The 16,960-nt window shown below is 51.8% G+C and overlaps 1 long non-coding RNA gene and 1 pseudogene across 1 annotated transcript; one reads left to right on the top strand and one right to left on the bottom strand.

Annotated features, from left to right (window-relative positions):
- The first annotated feature begins 4,688 nt into the window (after positions 1-4,688).
- On the top strand, positions 4,689-8,672 carry LOC105372829 (uncharacterized). Its single transcript, XR_937781.3, has 3 exons — positions 4,689-5,075; positions 7,561-7,629; positions 8,008-8,672. It is a non-coding gene; the product is annotated as an uncharacterized LOC105372829 (long non-coding RNA).
- On the bottom strand, positions 7,483-7,581 carry RNU6-1150P (RNA, U6 small nuclear 1150, pseudogene; annotated as a pseudogene).
- Positions 8,673-16,960: the final 8,288 nt, after the last annotated feature.

The following is a 16,960-nucleotide window of genomic DNA, read 5'->3' on the forward strand; positions in this document are numbered from 1 at the left end:
ACGTCTTAGCAAGCTAGCAACGTGGCCTGAGCTTTGCTTTGCTGTTGGATGTGAGCTCTTCCACTGCAGGCGGCCTGCACCTGGGCTGGGCAGGAACAAGTCCAACCGCAGGTACCCTGGACGTGAGCCTTGATCGTCCCACGTGTGGCCAGGGGGCCTGTGAGGGTGCACGTGCACACACATGCACACACAGACACACACGTGCACGTACACCAGCAGGTGCATGCCCTGCCGCTGAACCCCTGGGGGAGGGACAGGCCCAGTCACAGGGGCAGGCACCAGAGGACAAGGCCACGGAGGGCTCCGCATGGCTTCGGCTGCTGCCCTGCAGTCGGTCCCAGCCTCATAGCACTTGCCAGGTGGAGCCGCTCCGAAGTCTTAGGATCCAGGGATGGGAAATGCCAGCAAGGTCACATGTGTGACCTCACTTCACAGCTGCTGGCGCAGCCTCTGCTTGAACCCAGCCAGATCCCAGCGTGCCTCTACTGTCTGAATTGGCCCATTCCATCGATCACAGATGGGGAGCACAAGTGTGTTTCCGTGGGACAGTGTGTTACGGGGGAGGCTTGGATTTGGGGGTCTGGAGGCCTCTAGATGAAAACCCAAAACTCACTCCTTAGGACCTGTGTGGCCCAGGCCAAGAAGGTTCTTAGCCTCCATGCCCTTCCGTGTTCTAGCCTGTAAGGTGGGGATGGTCATCAGGACGATCAGCGTACCTCCTGGGCTTAGGCCGTGACAGGTGCTCAGCAAGTGGCTACTGTCCCGGCAGACCCGGGGGCATCCCAAACCTGCATCTGTCCTGGGCCCTGCCTGTGCCAGCATGGAGGGGAGGGGCTGTGGTAGTGGCCTTTGCTTCCTCTCCCCTTGGAACCTTTCATGAGCCCCCAGTGTCTCCTCCTCCCCATCATTCATCTTTTCCTGTCACTTCTTTCTTTTTTTTTTTTTTTTTTTTGAGACGGAGTCTCGCTCTGTCCCCCAGGCTGGAGTACAGTGGCGCAATCTCGGCTCACTGCAAGCTCCACCTCCCGGGTTCAAGCCATTCTCCTGTCTCAGCCTCCCGAGTAGCTGGGACTACAGGCGCCTGCCACCATGCCCAGCTAATTTTTTGTATTTTTAGTAGAGACGGGGTTTCACCATGTTAGCCAGGATGGTTTCAATCTCCTGACCTCGTGATCCACCCACCTCGGCCTCCCAAAGTGCTGGGATTACAGGCGTGAGCCACTGCGCCTGGCCTCCTGTCACTTCTTAAATCCTTTTGGTCTGGGTGCAGTGGTTCACACCTGTAAGCCTCACACTTTGGGAGGCCAAGGCAGAGGATCACTTGAGCCTAGGAGTTCAAGACCAGTCTGGGCAACATAGCAAGACCCCATTTCTAAAAAAAAAAAAAAAAATTTTTTTTTTAATTGGCCAGAAACTGTGGCTCATGCCTGTAATACCAGCACTTTGGGAGGCTGAGGTGGGAGGATCACTTGAGCCTAGGATTTCAAGACCAGCCTGGGCAACATAGCAAGACCCCATCTCTACAAAACAAAAATTTTTTTTTAATTGGCTGGGCACCGTGGCTCATGCCTGTAATCCCAGCACTTTGGGAGGCCGAGATGGGAGGATCACTTGAGCTCAGGAGTTCGAGACCAGCTCAGGCAACATGGTGAGACCCCATCTCTACTAAAAATATATATATATGGCTGGGCATGGTGGCTCATGCCTGTAATCCCAGCATTTTGGGAGCAGAGGTGGACAAATCACCTGAGGTCACGAATTTGAGACCAGCCTGGCCAACATGGTGAAACCCCATCTCTACTGAAAATACAAAAATTCGCCAGGCATGGTGGTGGGAGCCTGTAATTCCAGCTACTCGGGAGGCTGAGGCAGGAGAATCGCTTGAACCTGGGAGGTGGAGGTTGCAGTGAGCTGAGATTGCACTACTGCACTCCGGCCTGGGCCTCAGAATGATACACCATCTCAAAAATAAATAAATTACATATATATATACATACATATATATACATATATACATATACATATATACATATATACACACATATATACATATATACACATATATACACATATATACATATATGTGTGTGTGTGTGTGTGTATGTATGTATATATATATATATATATATATATATATATATATATATATAAAAAATAGCTGGGCATAATGGTGCACACCTATGGTCCCAGCTACTTGGGAGACCGAGATGGGAGGATTACTTGAACCCAGGGGGCGGAGTTTGCAGTAAGCCAAGATTGTGCCGCTGCACTTCAGCCTGGGTGACAGAGCAAGATCCTGTCTCAGAAACAAAAAATCCACCAGGTGTGGTGGCGTGCACCTGTAGTCCCATCTACTTGAGAGGCTGAGGTGGGAGGATCACTTGAGCCCAGGAGGTTGAGGCTGCAGTGAGCCATGATCGTGCCACTGCGCTCCAGCCTGGGCAACACAGTGAAATTCTATCTCAAAAAAAGAAAATCACCCCTTTTTGCTGGGCTGGGCCTCCTTTGCGAGTGCAGTGCGGTTCATCCCTTAGCATCTCTGAGGTGTGTGCCCCGCCGTGTCCCTCCACACCGCTGTGACACTGCTGCTCTTCTGCAGAGTTGATAGCACGGGGCATGGTGACCGACGTCATCCCCCCCAGTAAAGGCGCACGAGGAGGGCGGGCTCCTGACCGGCCTCAGCAGGACTGTGTCCACCAGAGCAACACACCCAAAGCCAGGGTTCTGGCTGCAGCTCCTCAGACCAGTGGGAGGTCATTAGACCCGCAGGAGCGCACGTGACTCCGGGAAGTGGGATGGGACCGTGTTGCCGGAAAAGCCGGATGAGCAAAGGCGGGCAAGCCCAAGGTGTTCAGACCCGGCCGGAGAGGTGGGAGACGGGGAACACGGCAGCTGCACAGCTCTCCCGGGGAGAGTCCGCGTGTGGTGGGAGGGACCCAGCCCGACTCCCTAGGAGCTGGTTTTCATGTTTGGGGCCCACGAAGACCTTGAGCTGCCTTCAGGAAGGATTGTCACGCGGGGCAGGGTGTGTAAGCAGATGAGCTGCGCTGTGCCAGCCTGTGCTCCTCTGCCCACGCAGCAGGCCGTACATTCCGCACCCGGGATGCCTGGGACGCCCACAGGCCTTGGCCAGGCTCGGCTTGTGGAGTGCAGAGCAAGGGCTGGTGGAGCTCCTCGGGCGCTTGGAGCCAGGGAGTGTGCGCAGTGGCAAGGGGGGACCTTAGAGACAAGCAAATGCTAAATGATCTGAAATCGGGATTGGAGATGGGGCAGGGGAGAGTCGGCTCTAGACAGGCATGTCCAGCCTGTTTGCAAAACCCCTGCAAGATCTAAGGACATCCAGGGGACAGACATCGTGAGCATGGGGTTCGGCTCCCATGTGCCTCTTGTCATGGAGGGACTTGAAGTCCTGAGCTATGCCAGAGGTCAGAGGACCTAGAAGGACCCACGGCATGTCTGTCCTGGGTGCCTGCAGAGCTGGGTGGGCCTTGCCCGCAGTGTGTCCGGGAAGGGGCTGCAGAACTGGGTGGGCCTTGCCCGCAGTGTGTCTGGGAAGGGGCTGTACACCTGTCCCCATGGCTTCCCTTCAGCTTCTCTGCGATTCTCAGTCGCCCGTCGGGACCAGAAGGGATTCTAGAGCATACTTTCCCCTCAAGCAGTTGTTTGTTTGTTTGTTTTTTGGAGACAGAATCTCGCTCTGTCTCCCAGGCTGGAGTGCAGTGGCGTGATCTCAGCTCACTGCAACCTCCGCCTCTTGGGTTCAAGCGATTCTTCTGCCTCAGCCTCCCAAGTAGCTAGGATTACAGGCACGCACCACCATGCCCGGGTAATTTTTTTTTTTAGTAGAGACGGGGGTTTCACCATGTTGGCCAGGCTGGTCTCGAACTCCTGACCCCTCAGGTGATCCACCCACCTCGGCCTTCCAAAGCGCTGGGATTACAGGCGTGGTCACCGTGCCTGGCTCAAGCAGCTTTTAAATGCAGGACTTCCGCCCCCGAAATTCCAACTCACACAGCTGTAATTACATGGTCAGTTCCACCTGCCCAGGACTTTATACGAAACCTGACCCCCCTCGGCCGGGCGCGGTGGCTCATGCCTGTAATCCCAGCACTTTGGGAGGCCAAGGAGGGTGGATCACGAGGTCAGGAGATTGAGACCATCCTGGCTAACACGGTGAAATCCCGTCTCTACTAAAAATACAAAAAATTAGCCGGGCGTGGTGGCAGGCGCCTGTAGTCCCAGCTACTTGGGAGGCTGAGGCAGGAGAATGGTGTGAATGCGGGAGGCGGAGCTTGCAGTGAGCCGAGATAGCGCCACTGCACCCCGGCCTGGGCGAAAGAGTGAGACTCCGTCTCAAAAAAAAAGAAACCTGACCCCCCTCAGGCTGGTCCAAAGCCATCGGATGTACCCTCTCCTCAGAACAAACAGGAAGGTGGCTGCCACTTCCAGCGGCTTCACGGCAGAGCTTGTGCAATCGCAGGACACAGCCTGGATGGCCGAAGACAGCAGGGCAGCTGTGAACGGTCTATGCCATGTCTCCTGCCCAAACCCTTTTCTGCTGCTCCCAACCAGAAAATAAGGATGGAGACAGCCTGCAGCCCCTCCTTTGCCAGTGAAAGATCTGGTGGGGAGGCGTGGGGTCTCTGGGGGTCGGGGGGACAGGTATGACGATGCTGGTGCCCATCTCTCTGGGGCATTCCGCCCCCTTTGGACTTCATTGTCCCTGCTGTGTCACCAGGGGCCCTGCCACACCCTGCCTCCGAGTGTGTGGGGTCTGTACCTGCTTTGCCCCCACTGGCCGCTTTCTCCAGGACAGCCATGAACATCTCCAGTGTCCTCGGAGCAAGGAAGGAATGCTTCCTGGAGCAGAAGTGGCCACAATGACGCTAGGTCAGCAGATGGCCGCAGAGGCCTGGGCAGTGACCGGTCGGAGAACAAAGCCTGAGGTGTTCCCAGGCCGGTTTCCACGGGAGTCTTGGCAGTGACCCGTGCACGGAGGAGACGCGTGCCTTCCTGGCCCCCCAGTTTGGATTCCTGGTGCCTCTAAGGTCTGCTGATGGCAGAGCTGCACCCGGGTGAGCACAACCCAGGATGGGGTAGGGGGTGGCTCTTCACATTCCCTGTCCTCAGTGACAGAAACTCACTTTTATTATCCTAAACTCTGTTTTTGCTTAGAATTTGGGGCAACTTGCCCTGAAATAACCCTTCCCTTGTCCTTGGGATGAGGGGACTCTGTCCTCAGGGCATAATCATGTAGAAATAGGTCATCCTGCAGGTCCCCCCAGGAAATTCCTGAGAGGAAAGAGGGAACCCACTTTGAGCTGCCTGGGTCATTCCTCCAGCACGTCCCCTCCCAGCCCCAGCCTGCGCTGGAGACTGGTCTGAGTTCAAAGGCCGCGCCTTCTTCAGAGAACAGCCACTGCTGGCAGAGTCAGGCGTCCCATCCCCTCCAAGACAGCTGGGTTCCCTGGGGCTGTGGGAAGGCGGGTGTGGGGAGATGACCAGCGGTTTCTGGTCCTGTGTGCCCAGCCCCTATCAGCCCACAGAGCCTCACCGTGGTGTCTCCCCTGCCCACCAGCACACGGAGGGAGCAGGAAGGGATGCCTGCCAGAGGCTTCGCCCTTAGTCGGGGAAGGAAGTGATCCCATTCCATCTTCTGGTCCGAAGCCTTTTCCTTCTTCAGGGTGGGCCTGTCCACACCCGCCCCCGAGGTGGCTCTTCCGTCTCTCCCGCAGGTGCAGGTGGGACCCACAGGCTGCAGAGTCAGACCTGAGGGAAAATCCCGACTTCAGAAGTCATTTCTCAGCCTCCTCATCAGAAAATGAAAACCCAAACCAAAAGCTCCCCAGAAGGCTGAGGGAAAGGAGCCGGGCTCCCATCCGACAACTCACTGGGCCATAAGCACAACCTGGGGTGTGGGGAGAAGCCACAGCTCTGCCCTGGGGGTCTCCAGGGTACCTGGGCCAGAAGCCTGCAGTGGCGGCCCGGACAGTGGGGGCCCAGGCAGCGGTTCACGAGGAGACCTTGGATGAGAGCTTGTCCCTTCCTTTCTGCAGCAGCCACTAAGGAAGGCGCAGAGGGACTGGGTATGGTGGCTGACACCTGTAATCCCAGCACTTTCGGACGCTGAGGCAGGAGGATCTCCTGAGGCCAGGAGTTCAAGACCAGCCTGGGCAACATGGTGAAACCCTGTCTCTACAAAAATAAAAAAATTGGCTGGGCACAGTGCCTAATGCCTGTAATCCCAGCACTTTGGGAAGCTGAGGCAGGTGGATCACCTGAGGTCAGGAGTTCGAGACCAGCCTGACCAACATGGAGAAACCCTGTCTCTATTAAAAATGCAAAATCGGCCAGGCATGGTGGCACATGCCTGTAATCCCAGCTAATTGGGAGGCTGAGGCAGGAGAATCGCTTGAACCCGGGAGGCAGGGGTTGCGGTGAGCCAAGATCGTGCCACTGCACTCCAGCCTGGGCAACAAGAGCGAAACTCTGTCTCAAAAAAAAAAAAAAAAAAATTAGCCTGGCATGGTTGTGCATACCTGTAGTCCCAGCTACTCGGGAGGATGAAGTGAGAGGATCGCTTGAGCCCAGGAGTTCAAGGCTGCATGAACCACAAATGTGCCACTGTACCCCAGCCCACACAATGGAGTGAGACCCTGTCTTAAAATAAGAATAGCAATAACAATAAAAAGGAACAGAGACAAAGCCACACGGTGCTCTCTGACTGCCGAGTCCCAGGACTTGGTACAAAATTGCGAGGGATCTTTGAAACTCCCAACAGCAGCCCACATGCTACCCGATGAGGAAGCCGGGGACCAGACCAAGGACACTGACCATGCCCAAGCCGGGGACCAGACCAAGGACACTGACCATGCCCAAGCCAGGGACCAGACCAAGGACACTGACCATGCCCAAGCCGTCCAGCTAGTTCAGAGTCAAGTGGAAATAACCAGGGCGGGAGCACAGAGAGCCACATCCCAGTGGCTCCAGATCCTGGTGTCGGACAGCTGGGTGCTTGGGGAACTGCCGTTCATTCACAGGGCTTTGCGGCTGAGCTCAGAACTTGATCTTGACTTTGATGGGTGGAAGGAATGTGAGTGCCTGGATTAAAGCGGATTGTCACGTAGGCCACAGGATTCACGTGGGTAGAGACCCCTGGGCAGCAAGGAGCAGCCTCCAGCCCAAGTTAAGGCGTGGAGACAGTGAGCTGGGCGTGCCATCCGCGTGTGCCATCCTCAAAACCCAGCAAGTGCTCCCTCCTGACCTCAAGTGATCCACTCGCTTCGGCCTCCCAAAATGCTGGGATTACAGGCGTGAGCCACTAACTACCCTCAGCAAGGTTTCCAGTTTTTTGATGTATGCATTTATTGTTATTAACTTACCTCTTAATGCGTCTACTGTGTCCCAGAAGTTTTGGCACATTGTGTTTCTATTTTTGTTTGTTTCAAGGAATTTAATATTTTTAAAAGTTTTTTCATTGTTAAAAATATGGATCACTTCATGAATTTGCACGTTTCCTTGCAGGGGTCATGCTAATCTTCTCTATCATTTCCACTTTAGGATATTGCCACGGTTTCTACAGGACTGAACAAAGGGGGACCAACGCAGAAATGAAAACTTAAAACAAAAGTAAGTATTTTAAAGGAAGGGGCCAGGGGAAGAAGAAGAGCACTCGCAGCTTCCGGTGAGCATGAACAGCACCTGAGCTTCCACAGCCCTTCCTATTTGTTGAGTAGAATGAGCAGGGAGGAGGAGGTAATGATTGCTCAGCTGCTTAATTGATCACAGGTGCATATTATTACTAACAGCCTTCAGATGTGCCCTGTAGCTAATCACAAGAAACACTTGTGCCTGGGTCGTGACTGCCTCAGTATTCCTTCTGGGCGGCAGAAGCAGTTTGTCAGTTTACCAGTTTGCCAACGTTCTGCTTTTCTGAGAACAGTTTGCTGTTTACCCACATACCCTCCAGTGGTATACTGAGTTGATCACCACCCTCACTTTCTGCAGCAGCCACTAAGGAAGGCGCAGAGGGACTTCCTTTCGGCCTGCAACAGTATCTGTGCTGCCCAAGTGAGTATGGAATTTTAAATTTTCATTCTTAGTCTCTTCCTTCATCCACTGGTCATTCAGGAGCATGTTGTTTAATTTCCATGTATTTGTACAGTTTCAAATGTTCCTCTTGTTATTGCTTTCTGGTTTTGTTGCACTGTGGTCAGATAAGATACCTGGTATCATTTTGATTTTTAAAACATTGTAGAGACATGTTTTGTGTCTTAACATATTGTCAATCCTGGAGAATCTCCCATGTGCTGATGAAAAGAATGTATTTTTCAGCTGTTGAGTGAAACGTTCTGTAAAGGTCTGTCAGGTCCATTTGGTCTACGGTGTAGTTTCAATCCAATGTTTCTTTGTTAATCTTCTATCTAGATGATCTTTTTAATGCTGAGAGAGGGGTTTTAGAGTCCAACTATTATTCTATTGGGGTCTATCTCTCCCTTTAGATCTATTAATAATAATATTTGCTTTATATACCTGGGTACCCTGGTGTTGGGTGCATATATATTTTTAAGTGTTATATTCCCTTGCCAAATTAACCCCCTTATTATTATACAGCGTCTTTGTCTCTTTTTATAGCTTTTGAAGTCTGTTTTGTCTAATATAAGTACAGTTACTCCTGCTCACTTTTGGTTTCCATTTTTGTGGAATATTTTTTTCCATCCCTTCACTTTTAGCCTATATGTTTCTTCACACATGAGGTGAGTTTCTTGTAGGCAGCGTATAGCTGGGTCTTTTTAAAAATCCATTCATGCCGGGTGCAGTGGTTCATGCCTGTAATTCCAGCATTTTGGGGGGCTGAGGGGGGATGATTGCTTGAGCTCAGGAGTTCAAGACCAGCCTGGACAACATAGGGAGACCCCATCTCTACAAAATAATTTAAGAAATTAGCTAGGTGTGGTGGTGCATGCCTGTGATCACAGCTAGTTGTGAGGCTGATAAGGGAGCATCACTTGGGCCTGGGAGGTTGAGGGTGCAGTGAGCCATGATTATGCCATTGCACTCCAGCCTGGGTGAAAGAGTGAGATCCTATCTTGAATGAGTGAATAAATAAATAAATCCATTCAGCCAGTCTATATCATTTAAATGGGGGAATTTAATCCATTTACATTTAGGGTTATTACTGATAGGTAAGGATTTACTCCTATCATGTTGTTGATGTTTTCTGATTATTTTCTATATCAGAAAATAATCGGAAGTGCACACCTTGTGCTCCTAGACCAGGGCAGTGCTGCTGTGTGAATTCCTGGCAGCTCTCCAAGCTGGGCTCAGGGCTTGCAAGGACTGTGGGATTCTCCTGTCGTAAGGACTGTAGGTGTTGGTGGTGGCAATGGGGGCTGATGAGGATCTTCTACTTACCTTTGCCCCGCAAGGGGGTGTCCCTCTTGACTCCCAGCAGATTCAATCCAGGTGGAGGAGATGGAGCTGCAGGGCCAGGTGCCTCGACACTGCCCTCCAATTTGAAGGGCTTCCAATCACCAAAGGTGTGTCTTTTCTCCCTGCTGCGCTTCACATTCTCCCTCTGACACTCCAGTCAAATCTTAGCTATTTATTCATTGTCTTGGTCCTTTCTTGTGGAGGACAAGTGCCAGGGGTCTCTAGTCAGCCACCCTGATGACATTATGCTCTGTGGTTTTAATTTGAATTTTCCTGCAATGCAAATAATTAGTCATGCTTAGTGATGAGTGTTTTTTTATATGCCTGTTGGTCAGCTGCATGTCTTCTTTTGAGAAATGGCTATTCCTTTTGCCCATTTTTAAGATTGGGTTGTTTCTTGTTGTTCTTTTAGTTCCATATAAATAAATATATATGTATTATATATATATATATATTTTTTTGAGACAGAGCCTCACTGTGTCACCCAGGCTGGAGAGCAGCAATGCCATCTCGACTCACTGCAATCTCCACCTCCTGGGTTCAAGTGATTCTCCTGCCTTAGCCTCCCAAGTAGCTGGGACTACAGGCGCCTGCCACCAAGCCAGGCTAATTTTTTTGTATTTTTGGTAGAGACAGGGTTTCGCTATGTTGGCCAGGCTGGTCTTGAACTCCTGACCTCAGGTGATCCGCCTGCCTCGGCCTCCCAAAGTGCTGGGATTATAGGCGTGAGCCACTGCACCCGGCCCCTTATATATTTTGGATATTAACTCTTTATCGGATGCATGGTTTGCAAATACTTTCTCCTATTTTGTAGGCTTTCTCCTCACTCTGTCGATTGTTTCCTTCGCTGTGCAGAAGCCTTTTAGTTTGATGTAATCCCATTTGTCTATTTTTGCTTTTGTTTCCTATGCTTCTGGGTCATATCCAAACAAATGATTGCCCAGATCATTGTCATGGAGCCTTTCCCTACGTTTTCTTCTAGTGGCTTCACATGTTCGGGTTTTGTGTTAAGTCTTTAATCCATTTTGAGTTGAATTTTGTACATGGTATGAGATAAGCGTCCAATTTCATTCTGCATGTGGATATCCAGGTTTCCTGGCACCACTGATTGGAGACACTGTCCTTTTTCGGAGTAGTGAATACACTCCCATCGTTCAGACATTGCAGTTATCCAGCCCAGTGCAAAGGAGAGGCCTCCGTCTCCCCAGCCCTGTCTGCCTGTGTCCTCCACAGGCTGGAGCTTGGCTGGTGCGGTGCCCATGATACCTACTGTGAGTGGCTGTCAGTCTGTTTCAATTGGTCAATTCCTGTGCTATATTGGCCAGCAAGTATCGTAAGTCTTACCCCTGCTTGTAGATACATATTTGTATTAGTGTATGTTTCCAGTAATTCCTTTTTTTTTTTTTTCTGAGACAGGGTCTCATTCTGTTGCCCAGGCTGAAGTGCAGTGGTCAACCTTTGCTCACTGCAGCCTCAACTTGTTGGGCTCAAGCAATCCTCCCATCTCAGCCTCCCCAGTGGCTGGGATTACAGATGTGTACCACCACACCTGGCTAACTTATTTTTTGGTAGACATGGGGGTCTCTCTATGTTGCCCAGGCTGGTCTCAAACTCCTGGCCCCAAATGATCCTCCTGTCTCAGCCTCCCGAAGTGCTGAGACTACAGGCGTGAACACTGCACCTGGCCTTATTCTTTCTTTTCAAAAAATGGACATGCTTGGCTGGGTGGCTCTCTGGAAGCTTCCTTGGCAGCTTAGTGTATGTCAGTGTTTAGAAATGTTCCACTGCCATGTGGTGCCGCACCCCCATTGCTGGGTCAGGAACGTGTCCCTCATCCACCTTATTGCTGATGCTGTTGGTGTCTCAGAAGGGTTTACTATTTCTGCTCATGCTGGGTTGGACTAAGAGAGGGAAAACCCTCCTATCACTAGCAGGTGTTGGCCTCTCCCTCTCCTGACATGAGAATGCATCTTAAATAAAGACCTGCCTCTTTCTCCCATGCCTGAAAAGGGCCAAGATGCTCTGGCTGAAGTTGCCAGGAGGTCAGCACCTCTTCCTTTCCCCTGCATTCTGGGGATTGCCCCCCGCCACTGTCTCTGGTTGAATGTGTCTGTGCAAACCTCTGTAGTGATCTCTGCAAAGGGAGGAGGGGAGTGGGGCCGGGACTAAGCCTGGGACAGAGGTGGGAGCTGGGCCAGGGGGAGCCTCCCTTGGGGCCAGGCAGTGGCAAGAGCCACGTGGAAAAAAGCAAGTCCCTTTGATCAGAAAACCCACTGCTGTCCCTGCACCAGCCTGGGCCAGGACGGGACAGATGGGCCTTGGCAAGCCTCCCACGGACACCACGCAGCCTCACCCCACAGCAGTCAGCCGCCTTAGGTCTGCAGCTCACAGCCCATCCTGCCAGGGACAGTTGGAAGACTGCCTGGAGGAGGCCTTTGGTTCCCAAAAAAGCTGGGCTGAGGCCACAAGGCCCCCTGCAGACCCTCGTCCTCAGACTTGTTTCCACATTTATTTAAAGGATGCAGGGAGGAGCTGGTTTTATATTAATAACAATTAAGTACTCTTCATGTTCAAAACAGAACACTTATTACTTGCAATTTTCTGAGTCAGCCAAGTTCCCAGCCAGTGTATTAAACATGTAACGTTTAGGTAATGAGATGAACTCTTGATTTCAGTACCAGGCCGTGGGTGCATCTCTCCTAGAATTCCGGCAGCCATCGGGCCCCTCTCAGGGCTGGGGGCTGGACGACAGGGGAGCAGGAGAGATGCGTCCATCACAGAGCCATCTGCCTTCGAGGCAGAGTGTGCATGGACTGGGGTACAGGTGGTTTATTTGAGGTGGGCCCAGAGAGAGGGGGAAGGGAGTGGGGATGGTGGGGTGTAGAGGATGGGGGTAAGACAGGGACTGTCACTGAGCTAGTTCCCATCATAGTTCGACCTGGCCAGGGCTGTGAACAAAGTACCTCTGAGCAGAGGGAGGTTTGCATGACCACCCACCTACCCCAGGGCGGCCATCGTGGAGACAGGGCCTGCTGGTGTCCATTTTCCAACGCTTCCTGGCTGAGCCTGTTTCTGAGCCCATGGAGAAGGTTCTAGGCCTGCGGCAGAAAAGTGGGGCCCCCAACTAGTCTCAGAGGAGGGACCCTAACTGTCTGGTGCCACCCAGCTGCACCTGAAATCAGAGTGAGCTGAAGGCATGTGGCCTGGGGCACCCAATGCGTCTGTTAGGGTCTGAGTGCACCAGGGAGGACTGTTCTCTTGTCACCACTCAGGCCACCGTGACTGGACAGTTTTCGCATTGTACCATTTACGTAGGAAGAGATGTAGAAACTGGGCTAGCTGACACCACCCTCCAGGCTATTCGAGTGATGTTTTGGAGGTTGGCTTACTGGCAGCTCAGCCCTCAACCAGCTCTTCCCTCTTGCCACCTTCTTCTGTGCAAGGGGGATGTTATATCACCCGCTGTTAGGTGTGCCAGGGGTTGGCGTGAAAGGCATTGGTGCTGCTCCTATGTCTGAGCCAGGCCACAGCCGGCTTCTGCCATCTGGGCAGTGGGCGGCTCCCTGGTCCCTGAGAACAGCAAGGAAAAGGTGGGGCACAGATGAGGGCCTCCAGCAGGGTGGCTGCTCCTGCCCCAGTCCCGAACCCCACCGCGCAGGGACACAAGCGGGGGACATGAGGCCAAGGCACAGACAGGCCTCTTGGGGAGTGACCTCTGCTTGGAGAGGGAGCACGAGAATCCAGACTGTCAGGAAGCCAAGAAAGACCCAACTGAGTTCAAAATAGGAGCACGGGCCAGGCACGGTGGCTCACGCCTGTAATCCCAGCACTTTGGGAGGCTGAGGCGGGCAGATCACGAGGTCAGGAGATTGAGACCATCCTGGCTAACACGGTGAAACCCCGTCTCTACTAAAAAAAATAAAAATAAAAAAAATTAGCCGGGCGTGGTGGCGGGCACCTGTAGTCCCAGCTACTCGGGAGGCTGAGGCAGGAGAATGGCGTGAACCCGGGAGAGGTGGAGCTTGCAGTGAGCCGAGATTGCGCCATTGCACTCCAGCCTAGGCGACAGAGTGAGACTCCGTCTCAAAAAAAAAAAAAAAAAAAAATAGCATGGGGCATAGTGTTTGGAGCAGCCGTCCACAGCGCCAGGCTTGATTCCATCAGCGCTACTTATTTACATCACACTATACAGCCTAAAACCTGGGAAGAGCGTATTGTTTCTGCACAAGCTCAGGTGGGAGCAGGTTCTTTCTGAAGACACCACACAGTGACAGCAGCAGTTGACAGTGTGCCATGCACAAGATTGAGACTCAGCAAGAGGAGAGGCGCCAGGCTAAAGGCCGGGCATACCCTTGCTGTGCCAGGGGACCTGCCATTGCCTCTTGTACGAAATGGGGTGATGGCTGCAGTCCTGGCAACTGTGTTCCGGGCGCGGCCAAGCCCCAGTGGGCCTGATCTCTGAGCTGCCATGGGGCGAGCCCTGGGCCTCTGTCTGTCTCTCCTCTGCGACATGGAGCTAGGATACCTCCTCCCAGGCTTTTTGTAGGCATTAAAATAATTCAAGGCCAGGCATCGGTGGCTCACGCCTATAATCTCAGCATTTTGGGAGGCCCAGGCAGGTGGATCACCTGAGATCAGGAGTTCGAGATCAGCCCGGGCAACATGGTGAAACCCCGTCTCTACTAAAAATACAAAAATTAGCTGGGCGTGATGGCGTGTGCCTGTAATCCCAGCTCCTCGGGAGGCTGAGGCAGGGGAATTGCTTGAACCTGGGAGGCGGAGGTTGCAGTGAGCTGAGATTGCACCACTGCACTCCAGCCTGGGCAACAGAGCCAGACTCTGTCTCAAAAAAAAAAATATATATATAACATAAAAAAATAAATAAATCCAGGTGTGTTGACTGCATAGAATACATGTTTTAAAGGGGGGAAATTCTATCATAATCCCTGTTTTCAGATGAGACAACAGATGCAGGAGACATGAAGAGTAATTGAGAATCCATGTGGCCCTGCTCCAGGATCTGCTGCTTAACCACAGTGTGGCTCCACTTTTTACAAACAGGGAAGCTCCCTATGGACTGCGTGGGCTGGGTGTGGTGGCATGCGCCTGTTATCCCAGCACTTTGGGAGGCCAAGGTGGGAGGATCACTTGAACCAAGGAGATGGAGGCTGCAGTGAGCTATGAATGTACCACCACACTCCAGAGTGAGTGACAGAGCAACTGTGTCTCAAAAAAAAAAAAAAAAGATGGAAAATGCAGATATGTGGGTAAAAGGGGGAAGAAACTGCAGAGTCTGTGACCCAATCATAGTCACTGATACTGTTTTGATGAATTTCCTTCCAATCTCTTTTGTAATGATAGTGGGGTGGAGTTTTTTGCTTTTATGTAGTTGTTATTATATCACATCACTTTTCTTTTTTTGAGACAGGGTCTTGCTCTGTTGCCCAGGCTGGAGTTCAGTAGTGCAGTCTAGGCTCACTGCAGCCTCCACCTCCCAGGCTCAGGATCCTCCCACCTCAGCCTCCCGAGTAGCTGGGAACACAGATGCAGCCACCACACCCGGCTAATTTTTGTATTTTTTGTAGAGACAGGGTCTTGCTATGTGGCCCAGGCTGGTCTCAAACTCCTGGGCTCAAGTGATTCTCCCACCTTGGACTCCCAAAGTGCTGGGACTACAGGTGTGAGCCACCGTGCCTGGCCTTCACTTTCAAGATTTTTATAAACTGACGTTTTAAGTATTTCCCAGATTATCATAAGCCCCTCTAAAAAGTGTTTATAGATGGAGAGGGTCCAAGTGCAGCTCTGTTATGTGGATATATTGTATACTGGTGAGCTCTGGCATCTAGTGCACCCGTCACCCACGTAGCAAACATCGTGCTCAACAAGTAATTCCACAAACATTCACAAGCCTGTTCTAAACACCATTTTGACAGTGACACAATAGTTCATCAAATGGACAAAGCATGGTTCATGTGACACAGGCTGCGCCTCTGGTCCCAGCTAACAGTTGTTGACGTGCAGGTTGTTTCCAGTTGTTTGCTCCCGCAAAGCAATGCTGCAACATGTGTTTTTACCCATAAAGGTTTGGGAGAGATTTTGCTTCCTCAAAGAGCTCTAGAAGTGGAATTGCTGGCTCAAAGGACGAAAGGTTGGAACTGCTTTTTAAAAAACCAACACCTGGCCAGGCGCAGTGGCTCACGCCTGTAATCCCAGCACTTTGAAAGGCCGAGGCAGGCAGATCACTTCAGGCCAGGAGTTCGAGATCAGCCTGGCCAACATGGGGACTCCATCTGCTGAAAATACAAAAATTAGCTGGGTGTGGCGGTGCATGCCTGTAATCCCAACTACTTGGGAGGCTGAGGCAGGAGAATCACTTGAACCCGGGAGGCGGAGGTTGCAGTGAGCAGAGATCATGCCACTGCACTCCAGCCTGGGCGACAGAGACTCCATCTCAAAAACAAACAAACAAAGGTGACACCTTAGAGAATCTCCCACCGAGCCCCAGGAGGCAGTATCTTCCCTTTTTTGGACTATTTGCTCACCTGGGATATTATTTATGGAGGGATTGGTTAAATGGACGGATGAAAATGCGCATCAAAAAATATCTGCACCAAGGTTGGGCTCACACCTGTCATTCCAGCACTTTGGGCTGAGGTGGGAGGACTGCTTGAGCTCAGAGTTCAAGACCAGCCTGGGCAACATGGTGAGACCCCATCTCTACAAAAAAATACAAAAATTAGCTGAGTGTGGTGGCTGTGCCTGTAATCCCAGCTACTCAGGAGGATGAGGTAGGAGAATCTCTTGAACCCAGGAAGCGGAGGTTGCAGTGAGCATAGATCACACCACCATAGTTCAGCCTGGGCAACAGTGAGATCCCGTCTCAAAAAAAACCAAAAACCATAAACTGCACCGGACTCAGGACTGGCTTTCCCTGCACCCGGAGCGGCTTCTAGAACGCCTGGTGAGCCCAAGAGGAGGAAGCGCGCGGTGAAACACTGAAAGCCACACACAGTGTGAAAACTCACGTGATTACTTTAAAGTTACCTGGCTTTCTATTAAAAATGTGAGGCTGGGCGCGGTGGCTCGTGCCTGTAATCTCTGCACTTTGGGAGGCTGAGGTGGGCAGATCACCTGAGGTCAGGAGTTCAAGACTAGCCTGGCCAACATGGTGAAACCCCATCTCTACTAAAAATACAAAAAATTATCTGGGCATGGTGGTGGGTGCCTGTAATCCCAGCTACTCAGGAGGGTGAGGCAGGAGAATCGCTTGAACCCAGGAGGCGGAGGTTGCAGTGAGCCGAGATCATGCTACTGCACTCCAGCCTGGACAGCAGAGTGAGACGGCGTCTCAAAAAAGAACAATTTTGAGATGACAATGGGTTGACGTGTGGTATAAGAAGTAATCCAGGGAGGTCTTGTGCACCTTTCCTGAGTTTCCCCAGTGGTGACGTTTCGTAACATTGGATCACAGTGTCACAGCCAGGTATTGACGTGGACACAGTCCAGATCCAGAACATTCTGTTTCCGC

This window comes from Homo sapiens, chromosome 21 (assembly GCF_000001405.40).
Source record: "Homo sapiens chromosome 21, GRCh38.p14 Primary Assembly".
In the NCBI taxonomy this organism is placed as follows: Eukaryota; Metazoa; Chordata; class Mammalia; order Primates; family Hominidae; genus Homo; species Homo sapiens.